General features: G+C 42.5%; 2 protein-coding genes and 1 pseudogene across 20 annotated transcripts in view; 2 read left to right on the top strand and 1 right to left on the bottom strand.

Moving 5' to 3' along the window:
• ZNF75A (zinc finger protein 75A) overlaps positions 1–12,202 on the top strand; it is a 17,969-nt gene extending 5,767 nt beyond the window's left edge. For 5 of the 19 annotated variants that reach the window (XM_047434587.1, XM_047434591.1, NM_001302109.2 and 2 more), the window contains 5 exons: positions 490–685; positions 1,414–1,505; positions 1,786–1,912; positions 5,649–5,759; positions 5,927–7,588. In XM_047434587.1, coding sequence (XP_047290543.1) covers positions 490–685; positions 1,414–1,505; positions 1,786–1,912; positions 5,649–5,759; positions 5,927–6,606 — 1,206 coding nt within the window. In that variant the 3' untranslated portion in view covers positions 6,607–7,588. Of the gene's footprint in view, positions 1–385; positions 686–1,413; positions 1,506–1,785; positions 1,913–5,287; positions 5,760–5,926; positions 7,589–11,651 lie in introns of those variants that run through there. The other 14 variants (XM_047434588.1, XM_011522646.4, XM_047434592.1 and 11 more) reach the window with 9 other exon arrangements.
• OR2C1 (olfactory receptor family 2 subfamily C member 1) overlaps positions 11,668–16,092 on the top strand; it is a 35,207-nt gene continuing 30,782 nt past the window's right edge. The window contains exon 1 of the mRNA XM_047434179.1: positions 11,668–11,750. The gene's annotated coding sequence lies outside the window, so the exon portion shown is untranslated. The remainder of the gene's footprint in view (positions 11,751–16,092) is intronic.
• On the bottom strand, positions 11,769–12,687 carry RPL7L1P19 (RPL7L1 pseudogene 19; annotated as a pseudogene).

Raw genomic sequence — 16,092 nt, forward strand, 5'->3', positions numbered from 1 at the left:
CCCGTCTCTACTAAAAATGCAAAAATTAGCCAGGCGTGGTGGTGCATACCTGTAATCCCAGCTACTTGGAAGGCTGAGGCAGGAGAATCACTTGAACCCAGGAGGCAGAGGTAGCAGTGAGCCGAGATTATGCCTTTGCACCCCAGCCTGGGCAACAAGAGCAAAACTCATCTCAAAAAAAAAAAAAAAAATGAGTGGGCTGCCCAACCCTGCCAGTGGCCTGACCTAGACCGTATACAGAGGAGTAGAAGCTGCTGTGTTAAAGGGCTGGCAGGCACCACAGTTTGTTTCCTTTCACCCTAGTTTTCTCATATTTGTGTATAGTCATTTGTGGAGCATTGGTGGCCCAGTATCTCTTTAAGCCTTTTTTTGTCATTTTTTTTAGTGTCTTATACTACCCACAATGTGGGCTGTACACCTGTCGCTCTGCCTCCACCCCCACAAACCAAAAGTAAGTTCTGTGGTAACAAGGATGGGAATTATTTCTAGGTTGCAGTCCATGAGCTGGGAAAGGAGGCAGTGCTCTTGGGAGAAACAGCAGAGGCCTCAAGTTTCGGGCTGAAGCCAACAGAGTCCCAACCAGTGGGCGTATCCCAAGATGAAGAATTTTGGAATACATACGAGGGTCTGCAAGAACAGCTCAGCAGGAATACTCATAAAGAGACTGAGCCTGTGTATGAGAGGGGTAAGGAGCTTCATGATAATTTTCTTCTCCTGGGAGCTGTGATAATAGTTTATTCACCCAAAATGTCATGGGCATTTTTTGAATACCCTGCTCTGTGGATTTGTAAAACCAGCCTTGATAGCAACTATGATGTCCTTCCAGGCAGCAGTAGAAATGCCAACTGTGGATGAAAGTGGGAGTAGGCCTAGAGAACAGAAATATCTAAACCACAGAACTCTTGGTAATAACAGTGTGAACTCTGTTCCTTAGACTAGTGGAGAGGAAGGAAAGAAATGGAGTGGGAAGGCTTGGGGCCACTTCATCCTTGTAAAATACAGAAGGAATTGAGATCAGATGGGCTGTTAGTGGCAGAATGTGAAAACAGTTGTGTACCAGGAAAAACATAATAAAAGACAAAAAACTTCATCTCCTACCATACAGTGGAGTCCCTGAGTACTTCATTTTAAGATATCTTTAATTTTTGCCTAACTCAGAAAAATATGAGAGGAAAAAGGGATTTCCCTTTTATTTCTCTGATGAAAACTGAGGAAACATTTAGTTGGGGAACTAGTTCTAGGGGCTGGTGGATATTTGATTCTTATTTATGAAGAGACTGCTTCAGGCATCACACACACCACACGTGTAAAGGTGTCCCATCTGTACTTAAAAAGTCAGGATCAGTGTTTTAGAAATGAGCTCAGGATGTTTATAGATAAAAGAGATTTCTTCTGGCTCTTTTCCCCCCACAGCTGTGCCTACTCAACAGATTCTAGCTTTTCCTGAGCAAACAAACACCAAAGACTGGACAGTGACACCTGAGCACGTCTTGCCTGAGTCCCAGGTGAGCTGTGCTTTCCAGCTGTTGAGGGCTACCTTTCTCTGCTATGTATGATTAATACTGTCCAGGAGGGGTTCAGAGGTGTGTTAGTCCCGGGTGTTCTCTGGGCAACTGGGTACCTCCCAGGCTGTGGGCTGACGCCTTTTCTCCTTTTTTTCTGCCTTCTCACTTAAAAAAATCATGTTCTTTTAATTCCTTTATCGCCTGGCCAATTCATAGCCAGGTGGCTAGGCTGCTTCTGTACAGTGGCAGGTTCTGAGCTGAAGTCCATTCTCTTCTTTAGAGCTTGTTGACATTTGAAGAAGTGGCCATGTATTTTTCCCAGGAAGAATGGGAGTTATTGGATCCCACTCAGAAGGCCCTCTACAATGATGTAATGCAGGAAAACTATGAGACTGTCATCTCTCTAGGTAAAGATTTTCCCTTCCCTTTATGTAGTTGAGTACTCTATTCTTGGCTTACTGAGAAGGAACCCCAGTGAGGGGTGTCTTACTGTTCCAGGAGCTGGTTGATTCTCATCTAGATGGTATAGGGGAGGGTGTAGGTAGTGTATCCAGATCACCTGTGGAGCTTTTTCCAAATGTACATGCCGATTGCTTATCCCACATTGAGTCCTTTATCCTTTCCTTCTCTTTTCCACCAAACTTCCTCTTCTGTGTCTTACTTATCTCAGTAAGGGGCACATTCATTATCCAGTGGCTCAAGGCATACAAAGTAACAGTTTTCCTTTATTCTGATCTTGTCATCATACCCCACTGTTAATTCATTAGCAAGTTTTCTTAGCTTTACTTTGACATATCCTGACTGCAACAATGTCTCATCTTCTTGCACTGTTAGCATCCTGGTGTAAGCCAGTGTCATCTTGAACCAGGCATACATGCGTAGCTTTTTAACAGGTGCGCCTGCATCTCCTTGTGCCCTTCCACAGTCTGTTTTCTATACAGAAGCTAGATTGATCTTTTAAAAACCTAATCAGATCATGACATTTCCTTTCCTCAAAAGCATGTGGTCACTTACATTCAGAAAAAAAAGTCTGATATTACCAGGGCTCCAGGACACTCTACAGTCTGGTTCCTGCTCATCTGTCTGCCCTCATTTGCTACTGAAGCCCTTGCTCAGTCCTCACCAGCCACTTAGCTAGTCTCCTTGCTGTTAATTGAATTTGTCAAGTTCATTTTTACCCTCTTGTTTCATTTTATTTGGCACACTGGGCTTCCTGAATACTTCATTTTCAAATTGAGTACATCTAAGTTTTGCTCAACTCAGAAAAATGTATATCATGCAAGGGGAAAAAACGCTATATATATATATCTTTTTATTAACTTTCCTCTTGAAAACTGAGGATAATCATCTGGGGAACCGGTTCTAGGGGCTGGTAGACACTTGGTTCTAATTTACAAAGAACCAAGTGGTTACCATACACACTCTTAAAAAGGTGTCCTATCTTTCCAGAAAGAATCAGGATTTTCTGTATTTTAGAAATGAGCTAAGGATGATCATAGAAACAAGAGAAATATCCTCTGGCTCTTTTCCACCCACAGCTGTGCCTGCTCAACAGATTTTAGTCTTTCCTGAGCAGACAAACACCAAAGACTGGACAGTGGCACCTGAGCTCCTCTTGCCTCAGTCCCAGTTGAGCTGTGCTTTCCAGCAGTGTAGGGCTACCTGAGCATGACCTTATCTGCCTTTCCCTGCTGCCCAAGACCCACACTGCCCAGCATGTGCCCTGAGGCATGTTAGCCCCAGAGGTTCTACCCTGGACAATTAGGCTTGGCCCAGAGGGAACTGGGTACCTCCTAGGCTGTTTGCTGATCCCTTGGCTCCTTTTCTTCTGCCTTCGCCCCCGTGGGCCCCCGCCTTTTTTTTTCTTAAATCGTATTCTGTTAATTTCTTTAGCACCTGGCCTACCATGCAGTTCATACGCAGTTAGGCTGCTTCTGCAGTGGCAAGTTCAGAGCTGAAGTCCATTCTCTTCTTTAGAGCTTGTTGACATTTGAAGAAGTGGCCATATATTTTTCTCAGGAAGAATTGGAGTTACTGGATTACACTCAGAAGGCCCTCTACAATGATGTAATGCAGGAAAACTGTAAGACTGTCATTTGTCTAGGTAAAGATTCTCCCTTCTTTTTGTGTAGAAGTTGAGCAATCTGTTCTCAGTTTACTGAGAATGAACCTCTGTGAGAGGGTCTCAGTGTTCCAGGAGCTGGTTGATTCTCAACTAGATAGTGTAGCGGAGGGTGTAGGTGGTGTATCCAGATCACCTGGGGAGCTTTTCCAGATGTACGTGCTCATTCCTTGTCCTACGTGGAGATCTTGATCCCTTCCCTTTCCCTTTCCCCAAACCTTCTCCATCATGTTTTTCCCATCTCAGTAAGGGGCATCAGCATTATCCAGTTGCTCAGGGCAAACAAAGTACTGTCATGTTTTTTTTTTTTTTTTTTTTTGAGATGGAGCCTCGCTCTGTCGCCCAGGCTGGAGTGCAGTGGTGCGATCTCAGCTCAGTGCAAGCTCTGCCTCCCGGGTTCATGCCATTCTCCTGCGTCAGCCTCCCAAGTAGCTGAGACTACAGGTGCCCGCCACCATGCCCAGCTAATTTTTTTTGTATTTTTTTAGTAGAGATAGGGTTTCATCATGTTAACCAGGATGGTCTCCATCTCCTGACCTTGTGATCCACCTGCCTTGGCCTCCCAAAGTGCTGGGATTATAGGCGTGAGCCACCGTGCCCAGCTAGTACTGTCATCTTTTACCCTGATCTTGCCATCATACCCCACTGTTAATTCATTAGCAAGTTTTCTTAGCTCTACTTTGACATATCCTGACTGCAACCATGTTTCAGCCCCTTGCACTGCCAGCATCCTGATCTAAGCCAGTGTCATCTTGAAGCAGATCAATGTCAGTAGCTTTCTAACAGGTCCCCCTGCCTTCGCTCTTGTCCTCCCACAGTCTGTTTTCTACACAGAACCCCAACTGATTTTTTGAAAACCTGATCAGATCGTTGCATTTCCTTGTTTCAGAAGCCTGTGGTTACTTCCTAACCATATTTGGAGAAAAATCTAAACTTCTTACCAAGGCCTCAGGACCCTCCATGGTCTGGCTCCTATGGAGTTCTTTGCACATGTGTCCTGCTACTGGTGCGCTTGTGCACTCAGTCCTTAGCCACACTGGTTGTCTTTCTGTTACTTGAACTCGCCAGGCTCATTTCTACTTTTCCTTTGCCTTGCATACTTTTCTGCCATGTGACAAAACTCACTTTTAGGTTTCTGCTCAAGTATTACTTTCTCAAAGAGGTGTCCCACAAGACCTTATCTAAAATAGCTTTACAGGAGCAGAATCTTAAATACTCTTTACCGTGATTTAATTTTCTTTAAAACATTTATCACTCCCTGACATTATTTTGTTTATTGATTGATTGTGCCATCCCTCTACTGTAATGTAAAGTCCGTGAAATCAGGGGTCTTCTTCACTACTATATCCCTAGCCCTCGAGCAGTGCCTAACACACCATAGCCACTCAATACATGTTTGTTGAATGAATGAGTGAGAGAGTTTCATACCTTGTAATCCGTAATTAGAGAAACTTCACCAAGTGATTTTGGTCTATTTCTTCTACCTGCATATGAACCAGTAATCTATAGGAATGGTAGAAATCTATCCTAGTTGAGGGCCAGTGGCTAAGGAATAAAGGCTAAATAAAAAGTAGCTGTAATTATAATAGTAATCACTTGTGCTTATGATACTCAAGTCAGCGTCCTTCACATTGGCTTTGCCATACCTGGTCTTATCCAGGCTGAGTCCTTCTGAAGAGTTAATAAGACCAGCTTATATTCCCTGCAACTTCTGGAGCTTGGTTCCCCCTTGGTTGGATATAGGGTATTGATGGCAAAAGAGAGAGAACATGTACTGGATTCCCATTCCCTATATCCTTTTCATTGATCCACCGTAGATTTATTTCTTAGTCTCTGCTTTGCATAGCTACCTATAAGTATAACATAGTATAAACGTGATACTTAATCTTGGAGTCTATCCATTTAACCATTTGGAGTAACAAATTGTAAAATGTCTTTGGTCATCCTGAAACAGTCTGGGATTAGTGGACCAGTTCACTGTTAAGTTACCAGTCCTTGACCTCATTTTGTCCATTTGACAGCATTGTTTGTGCTCCCCAAACCTAAAGTGATCTCCTGTCTAGAGCAAGGGGAAGAGCCATGGGTTCAAGTATCCCCGGAGTTTAAGGATAGTGCCGGAAAATCTCCTACAGGTAAATATACCATGGGAAGTGGAGAAATGTGCCTTGATGTGAACTTTTGCAAGGGCTTAACATTTTAAGATTTTGTTCCTTTTTTTTTTAATCATTGAATTTTTCTTTTTATTCCTGTGATTTGCTTGTTCTGGGATACAGATGTGTGATTATGTTTATTCCAACAGGGTTAAAGCTCAAAAACGACACTGAAAATCATCAGCCTGTGTCTCTTTCTGACTTAGAAATACAAGCATCAGCAGGCGTCATATCAAAAAAGGCCAAAGTAAAAGTTCCCCAGAAAACAGCAGGCAAAGAAAATCATTTTGATATGCACAGAGTGGGAAAATGGCACCAAGATTTTCCAGTGAAGAAAAGAAAGAAACTTTCAACCTGGAAACAAGAGCTGCTCAAACTTATGGATCGTCACAAGAAAGATTGTGCAAGAGAGAAGCCTTTTAAATGTCAGGAATGTGGGAAAACCTTCAGAGTTAGCTCTGACCTTATTAAGCACCAAAGAATTCACACTGAAGAGAAACCCTATAAATGTCAACAGTGTGATAAGAGGTTTAGATGGAGTTCAGATCTTAATAAGCACTTAACAACACACCAAGGAATAAAACCATATAAATGTTCATGGTGTGGGAAAAGCTTCAGTCAAAATACAAATTTACATACACACCAAAGAACTCATACAGGAGAAAAGCCCTTCACATGTCATGAATGTGGAAAAAAATTCAGTCAGAACTCCCACCTTATTAAACACCGGAGAACCCACACAGGTGAGCAGCCATATACTTGTAGCATATGCAGGAGAAACTTCAGCAGGCGGTCAAGCCTTCTTAGACACCAGAAACTCCACCTGTGAAGAGAAGCTTGTCCAGTGTCCTCATTCTGAAGACATTCACCAAATGGAGCTTGGCACTAAAATTTATGTAAAAGAAAAATCACAAACCTTGAAAAATTTTACATCAGAAAATGGGATAAACATACATTTCACAGAAAATAATCAAGACTTGCTCTGCAGCCACTCAGTAGTCTTCTGTGGTCACAGAAGTAAACATTGTTGGCTTTGTATTGATCTCTCCAGTCATTTTTGAACACATCCAATAGAAACATTGGCAGCATGGTCTTCCAAAACAAAAAGCAGTAACATGCATGTTTAATTGCATACCATTCTCTTCACAGTAGCAGGCTTACCAATTTCCATAGTCTCATGAGGCCGAAATGAATTACAATGTAAAGTGTTCCAGGAACCAAATTGGATTTTCTTTCTTTTGTCATTGGACACGGTTTGCAAAGTTGGACATCACTTGAGTTCCTTCTTAAACTTTTCGGCAACTTCTCTTGGATCCTGTTATCACAGTTTTTTACTGTGATGAAATCTTGTTAACCACCACTAGGGAATCTCCAGATGAACTATTAATGCACTGTCTTATGCCTCTCATTGGTGATGTTTGGAAAATAGAAGACATCTCTAATGGAATCATGGGGGAAACGGGTTGGAATTTGTAGCCATGGAATATATATTAGATGTAAAGAATTTTCTGCAATAAAAGAAACTAGACTTGTTAATCCCTGCCTTGCAATGTCAGTAGGATAAAGCAGCTATAAAAATTAGTACTTGCCCAAGGCCTGAAAGAGAATTAGTGGGAATTAAGATCAACTTCTCAGTTTTGTTTGTTTACTTTTTAATTGGCTTTTCTTTGTTGTTAAGAATGAGAGACTTAATTTCCATGGGAGTTGGAGTGTGTGTGCTGCAGGCAGGATCCTGTGGCTCATTTGGCATGGAGACCTGGACATGTAGTCAGCAGGAGACGGTTCCCTAAATAAAAGATTTGGGCACTGGTGCTAAGTGTTGGGCGAGGATGAGCAAATCTACATCCATGTTGTTCTGTCCTGTCCTGTAAGCTCTACCTGTCTTTGTTCTTTCCAGCACAGCATTTAACAGCAGCCTCAGGTGATAAATTTGATGGATTGCCAAAAGTCTGTATAGCCTATGGATTTTCTTACAACTTGCTTGTTTAGCTACAGCAGTGACTCAGGTGCATTCCTTTTAGAGCTCTTAGGTATATCAGGAAAGGGGTTAAATAACTGACCTCTTCCAAACCTCTTATTTTATTTTTTTTGAGACAGAGTTTCGCTCTTGTCACTCAGGCTGGAGTGCAATGGTGTGATCTCAGCTCATTGCATCCTCCACCTCCCAGATTCAAGCAATTCTTCTGCCTCAGCCTCCAGAGTAGCTGGGATTACAGGCACCCACCACCACGCCTGGCTAATTTTTTGTATTTTTAGTAGAGACGGGGTTTCACCATGTTGAGCAGGCTGGTCTCGAACTCCTGACCTCAAGTGATCCACCCGCCTCGGCCTCCCAAAGTGCTGGGATTACATGCATGAGCCACTGTGCCCAGCCTATACTAATTGTTTCTTAAGTACAGCCAACTCTGGAGCTCTGGTCTACATAGCTCTTACCCAGCACCACCTTAACTTAAGACCTCCAGGATTCTGTTTCTTCTCCCAGATCATGTGTGGCTTTCTTTCTGGCCCTACATTCATTCATTCTGTTCAATTTAATGAAGGCCTATGATGTGTCAGGCACTGTCCTATACTCTGAGGACACAGGAGTGGCCAAGAGACAAAATTGCATCCCCTCATGGAACTTGTATTCCAGTGAACAGTAAGAAGAATGGTTTTGCTTTCCTGCTCCTTGCTCTAAGACGGGTATGAGATAGTTTTGGTCAATGAGTTGTGAGCATTGTGAGCCTCTGGCTGAAGCTTTTCATTTTTTTTTTTTTATTTTTTTTTTTATTTTTTTGCTGGTACAAGGCCAGTGCTCTCCTTTCCTGCCTTAATCATGGAACCACATACAGAGAGAGCAGCCATGAAATCAAAGCAGTCCAGAACACTGAGCCACTGCATGGAGGGCGGCTATTCCCAAGAGTCTCCAGACCTATAGTGAACTTTGTGAGAACAAGAAATAAACATTTGTTCTGTTAAATCACTGAGACATTGGTGCTATGTGTTTCTGTAGCATAACCTGCCCTATCTTTTTTTTTTTTCTTGAGACGGAGTCTCGCTCTGTTGCCCAGGCTGGAGTGCAGTGGCGCAATGTCAGCTCACTGCAAGCTCCGCCTCCTGGGTTCATGCCATTCTCCTGCCTCAGCCTCCCAAGTTGCTGGGACTACAGGTACCCGCCACCACGCCTGGCTAATTTTTGTATTTTTAGTAGAGATGGGGTTTCACCTTGTTAGCCAGGATGGTCTTGGTCTCCTGACCTCGTGATCCACCCGCCTCGGCCTCCCAAAGTGCCGGGATTACAGGCGTGAGCCACCGCACCTGGCCAACCTGGCCTATCTTAATAGAGCTTGGAAAAGGGCAGCTGGGGGAGTGACTGTTTTGCTGGAGCTCTGGACCTTTCCATTTTCATTCTGCCTAGCCTTTGGCCCTCAAAAGAGACCTGGCTTCCCGTGGATACTAAACTGAGCTGATGCAACACTAATGGGACCACTTAAGACCTCCCAAGACTGTAGATGATAGGGAAGAAAGACATTGCTGTCTTGGACAAATCTTATGGGAGGTCAGTTCAAGGGGACAAGGCAACCCTCCTTCCCTATCTGGCCTTATTCCACTTCCCTTATTCTTTGTCTCCCTGCGCGTTGCCTCATGCACAAAACAGGCATTGCTATTGATGAATGGGCTATGGTGGGGGTTAGGGGGTAGGGATTGCCTTCCTCATATGCATGCAGGAGATTTCAAAGAATGGTTTGTTAACTACCTCTGTTGTATCTTCAGTGAGTTGTGCCTCAGAAAACAGATGAGATATAGGGCAAAAGCAAATTTGTCCAGATCAGTGTAGACAGTAAGGTGGCTATCTTCCTGGACTAAGGGATGACGGACAACTGGGGAGAAACTTGGGCAGGGAGGCAGGAGCAAGACAGTTCCACCTGTGGAGTGAGAATCCTCCAGGGGGAAAGTCGTAGCTTAGCCAGTACCCAGCTGCTGCACATAACATGATGTCTCATAACAACCTTGGAATTTGTGGGGTGGGGAGTGGAAGAAGGGATTTCTGTAGCTTGAGATGAGATTGGATTACTAAAATGATATCAGATGATATGAGAACAAATTACTTAAACCATGATATTAAAATCTATTGAGGCTTGCTTTAAAAATGAAATGAGAGACACATAATCCTAGGTTTAGCCTTAAACATTAGTACTAAATGCACTAATTAGTACTAAATGCACAAATATGTCCTCCATAAACCGGCAGATGATTTCCAGGAAACAAGAAGGATGCTTTATTTTAGCATGTTCAGATAGCAGCCTTACCGTGGCTTCACGGTTATTTCAGAGAACTGTATCATTGACCCCGTCTAGTCTCCTGACCTGTCCCCTGCACTAGTCTAAGTTCAGTGCTGGGACCATCCCAGACCTAGAGTTCTCCCTGCCGTTAAGCAGACTGGACCTTGAGCTCACCTTGAGAACCTCAGATATATTTTATTTTTGAGACAAGGGTCTCTGTTGCCCAGGCTGGGGCTCACCACAGCCTCGATCTCCCAGTCTCAAGCAATCCTCCCACCTCAGCCTTCTGAGTATCTGGGACTCCAGGCACGTGCCACCATGCCTGGGTTATTATTTTTTTACTTTTAGTAGAGATGAGGTCTTGCTATGTTGCCCAGGCTGATCTTGAACTCCTAAGCTCAAGTGATCCTCCTGCATTGGCCTCCCAAAGTACTGAGATTACAGGCATGAGCCACCATGCCCAACCTCAGATATCTTTTAACTGGAGGGGAAGAACAGGAGGGGCTTAGAATCAAAGTAAATCTCAAAACTAAAACTCCTAGGGTTTCTGTTAACTTTTGGAACTACTGAGAACAGTGTTTAATTTCCCAGGTAAGTTTGAGGAAGAACGCCCAGCAGCCTCTTTTATCCAAATGGACAATTGGTAACAAAAGATGGGAGTTCATAAAGGATTTTCCAAATATTTGTTGAGTCATGCCACTGAAGCATTTACTCCAGCATTTCCTGGTCACTCCTCCCTGTCATGTGTGATGAAGGCTGCCCTGTTACTCTTCTCTTGGAGGTTTTCTAGTGCATAAATACTTGCTGAAGCTCTCCCCACATTCTCTGTGGACTGAATTCTCTCCTATGTAGACTCTCTGAAGTCCCCTCAAGTGGGAAACAAAGTTTTGCCCATACTTCACGTTTCTACTGTTTGTCCCAGTAGAAATCCACCCAAACAAAAAGCATACTTTTGTTTCTGAATCTTTTCTACACCTGTCACTTTTTCTTGTGTGGGTTCACTGGGGACCGAGATGAGGGCACTGTTTGAAACATCAACCAAATTTGCTACATGCCTAGGTTTCCTTCATGTATTAATCCTCCACTGGGCAATGGTAGTTGGGCTGTACTGAAATGCCTTCTTCAGTCGAGCGTCTGTAAGGCTTTTCTCCTGTACGATTCACCCAAATCTGATAATGCGTGTACTTTGCCTAAAGCAGTTCGCCTAGTCTGAATCCCTCCTGTGAAAGGAATTAAGCAAGCTACCTTTTGCATTGCATTTCAGATTTAAGAAAACTATCTGAATCACTTTTCATTTCTGCCACAGTTCAGATAATGAATCTTGAGTTGCACCAATCTTAGCGCTGACATTAAAAATCAAGCTTTACAGTGTTTGGATATGATGCACCTTTTAGGAGAAACTAAGAAAGCTTACTGTTGAAATTTTTTTTTTTGACAAGTTAACATTTATTTTTGGGCCTTTCTTCCTATGTGTATTTCAAGTCTTTTTCAAAACAAGGACCCAGGAATCTCCAGATTCAATTATGTCCCTGGGCTTGGTCGACTGCTCCCGGAGTCTTAGGAAGCCTTGTACAAATGCTAGAGTTACTCATTCACCAACATTAAACCCTAGGATAGAAGATTCAACAAAGCAGGACTACTTCCGCCGACAAGGAGGCAGCCAATGTAGAAAATGCTGGAATTTTTCCTTGGAACTGGACTGTGATGAGAGGTACTTGCCATGAACCTAAGCTACTGTCTTTTTTTTTAACCCTTCCTTTCCAGTTTTTGAAGATAAAGCAGGAAATAGTCTTTGAAGATACTTGATAAAAAAAATCTCAAAAAAACAAAAACACATGCTTCCACTTCATTGATAAAAATTTACTGCAGTTTGGCACCTGGGTCTAGTTCAGCTGGCAGATGAGCTGATTGATGCATTCACCCCAATAGCCAGATGTGCCCATCTCCTTGAGGAAGCCCACTGTATTTTTGGTAGCATGATGGACCACTGAGAGGTGGAAAGGGCAAAAGAACCATGAGATCTCCTGGAAATGCTTCACTGGGAGGCAATTTCATGAATGAGGTCTTCCAAGCAAATGACACCAAACTTCCCCAGGTGCTCCTCAATCACTGTGTTGTCTGTCAGAGGGATGGTGTTCTTATTGACCTTGGCTTGTCCATGTTTCAGAATGAATTCCCGGACAGACTTCAGATTTGGAAATCCCCAGATCACATAAGGTTCCACTATACGCAGCATTTTTAGGTTCTGGGGGGTGACTTTTACAAAGACACCACTAAAAATTTTCTTAAGATGAAGTCTTGCAATGGCTGTCTGCACCAGTAGACTCACGCCAACAATCCTTTTGCTGCATACAACAAAGGCCAAGGAATGTTTATCTGGCAATTCCAAGGCACGAGGTTTCATTTCTAGTCATCTGAGACACACCTTGTCACATTTCTGCCACCAGGAATTATGTAGGAATGATTCCAGTCCCTTAAACCTGAGCCCTTTTCCTTTCCGCTGCTCCTTCTTTGCCAAAAGTGCCTGCTTTGTCTGAGTGGCTTTGAGGACTTGATAAGCCTTCCTCTTTTTCAGGAGATTTTCTGGAACCAAAGGGATTTTTCTTTGCTTTTGCTCTGCCATCTTTCTAGTGTTGTAGCTGCTGATCCTTACTGTTGAATTTTTAAAACCAATAGGTATACTTCCAACATAATTTTCACACTAAGCATTTGCCCATGATTTGTACAATCAACTGAATGATTTCAAAGCATTTGAAACAATCAAAAAGTAAAAGATCTTTACTGTTCACAAAGACAAAATTAAATATTTGTAGCATTAGAAAAATTCCTAAAATATTTAGTAGCATAGGGAACAACAGCTTGTTACACAGAAGAGTTAGGAAAAAAAATTTTTTATTTTATTTTTTGGAGACAGAGCCTCACTCTATCCCCCAGGCTGGAGTGCAGTTGCCCGGTCTCGGCTCACTGCAACCTCCTCCCCAGTTCAAGCAATTCTCGGGCCTCATGCTTCCCAAGTAGCTGGCACCACAGGTGTGCACCACCACACCTGGCTAATTTTTTGTGTTTTAATAGAGATAGGGTTTCAACGTGTTTCCCAGGCTGGTCTCGAACTCCTGAGCTCAGGCAATTCACCTGCATAGCAGAGTTAATAGATGGGCAAAGGCCATTGAGTTGAAGAAAGCACATTATGATGCATCAGCCTCATGTTCTGGGACCAAATCAAAGTACTCACTCTACTGAATTGACCAAGCAACCATGAGAAAAATATCTAACTAAACTGCTCAGTGTTGTAATGGATTTCTCTCTACGTATGTTTGTTTTATAAATATGTTAGAGATGGGAGTCTTGATATGTTGCCCAGGCTGGCCTCGAACTCCTGGACTCAAGTGATCCTCCTGCCTAAACCTCCCCAAATCTGGGACTGCAGGTGCATGCCATCACACCTAGCTCCTACACACACACACACGTATATATATGTACATACATACATATACATACTTACATATACATATATATGCTTACCTCAAATATATTGCAGGTTTGGTTCCAGGCCCATGCAATAACATGAATATCAGAATGAAGTGAGTCACACAAATTTTTTGGTTTTCCAGTACATATAAAAAAGTTATATTTACACTGTACTGTAGTCTTTTTTATTTTTCAGTTTTGTATTGTATTGTATTGTGTTTTATGTTTTGAGACAGAGCCTCACTCTGTCACCCAGACTGGAGTGCAATGGCATGATCTCAGTTCCCTGCAACCTCTGCCTCCCAGGTTCAAGTGGTTCTTTTGTCTCAGCCTCTGAAGTAGCTGGGATTACAGGCACCTGCCACCAGGCCCAGCTAATTTTTTTATTTTTAGTAGAGATGGGGTTTCACCATGTTGGCCAGGCTGGTCTTGAACTCCTGGCCTCAACCGATTAGCCACCCTCAGCCTCCCAATGTGCTGGGATTACAGGCCTGAGCCACTGTGCCCAGCCTATTTACTTATTTTTTAATAGAGATAGGGGTCTTACTATGTCGCCCAGGCTGGTCTCAAACTCGTGGGCTTAAGTGATCCTCCTGCCTTGGCTTCCCAAAGTGCTGGGATTACAAGTATGAGCCATCACACCTGGCCTGTAGTATAGTCTTTAAGGGTGTAATTGCATTATGTCTAAAAATATATATATATATATATATATATATATATATATATATATATATACACTTTAAAAATACTGGCATGGAGATATGAAGTGAGTGTGTGCTGTTGGAAAAATGGCAGCGATAGACTTGCTCATCACAGGCTTGCCACAAACCTTCAATTCATAAAAAATACAATATCTGTGAAGTGTCACAAAGTAAGGCACAATAAGGTATGCCTGTATATTAATACATATGTGAATAAACTCTATGGATACCTATATCTCATATAGGTAGATATCTTAAGTGTATATATTTTTAAATATTAAGATGTTTTTCACTATGTTTTTGCTTTGTTGGTGTAAAAGGGAAAAAATGTAAAAATATAAAATATTTCTCAAATTGCCATGCTAAATGAGGCATGTAGGTGCCTGATGTGAGTATTAGTGATGGAGATTATCTCCAAAGCATGGAGGTATTATACTGCAAGAGTGCTCAAGTGCATTCTTTTTTTTTTTTTTTTTTTAGGCAAAGTCTCACTCTGTTGCCCAGGCTGGAGTGCAGTGGTGCGATCTCGGCTCAATGCAAGCTCTGTCTCCTGGGTTCAAGCAATTCTCCTGCCTCAGTCTCCTGAGTAGCTGGGATTACAGATGTGCGCCACCAAGCCTGGCTAATTTTTTTATTTTTAGTAGAGACAGGGTTTCACCATGTTTGTCAGGCTGGTCTTAAACTCCAGACCTCGTGATTGGCCCGCCTCGCCCTCCCAAAGTGCTGGGATTACAGGCGTGAGCCACCGTGCCTGGCTCAAGTGCATTCTTATGATGACAGCCTGGGACGCCGAGAACAAACCCAGCACTCACCCTACACCAGGCAAAATGATGTCTTTCTTTCGGAAGTAAATACACTCTCCAAAATGAAGCACATTACCCTCTCAAAACCATTCCCATCCACACCAGACACTGCCTTAAGGAAATCTTCCACTTCTACAGACCATCCAGGTCCCTGATCTCTGACCACAGATTCACACCTCTATTGCAGTTTTAGAAGATATGGTTCAGTGCCCTCTGTTCTATTCAACTAGAAGCTTTACACTTGGGGAGTGTAGCAGACATTTGTTGACTGCCTCCTAACATCCGTTTCACCCTTTTTCCTCTCTGTCAATCCTGATTCCATTTGGAGATCTGAGAGGTTCCTGATCCTGGTTTCCAGGAATGGAGAATGTGACCCAACCTCAGTAAGAGAAAGATTCTACCTCCTTGGTTAGACAATGGCTCAGGGTTAGGCATATGGCCTTAAGCTGGTCCTATTGGGACTTTTCTTGGAGATGCTAGAACAAATCCAGCTCTTGCTGGATGACGCATGTAACCCAGTAGCTGTTCACAATCTTCTTGAAACTGGGACATAGATGAGCCTTAGGATGAAATCAGCATCATAGAAAGCAGAATAGAGTGATAGAAATTCAGTCCTTGGTAACATCATTGAGCTGTAGGATCAAGCATCACCTCATACCTAGAACTGCCCAGTACTTTTCAGCTACGTGAATCTATACATTCCCTTTATTGTTTAAGCCAATGTGAATTGGGGTTTCTGTTCATTGTAACCGAAATAATTCTAATAAATACATAGAGTAATAACTGATTTAAAATAATATATATAGGAAATGGACAATCCTTTTATATGTACCCACTTAGAGGTTTTTCTTATGGAAGTTATCAAACATATATATAATTATAAAGAGAATAGTATAATGAACCCCCTCAAGGCCTTAAAAATCACCAACATTTTGCCAATCTTGTTTCATTTATCCCCTCCAGTTTTTTTATTTTTTGCATTTAGAGGGTTGTTGGTTTACTTTGGAGTATTTTAAAGTAAATCTCAGACATTCTAACATTTCACCCTTAAATAGTTCAGTTTGTAAGAGATAATTCTTGA

This window comes from Homo sapiens, chromosome 16, assembly GCF_000001405.40.
Source record: "Homo sapiens chromosome 16, GRCh38.p14 Primary Assembly".
In the NCBI taxonomy this organism is placed as follows: Eukaryota; Metazoa; Chordata; class Mammalia; order Primates; family Hominidae; genus Homo; species Homo sapiens.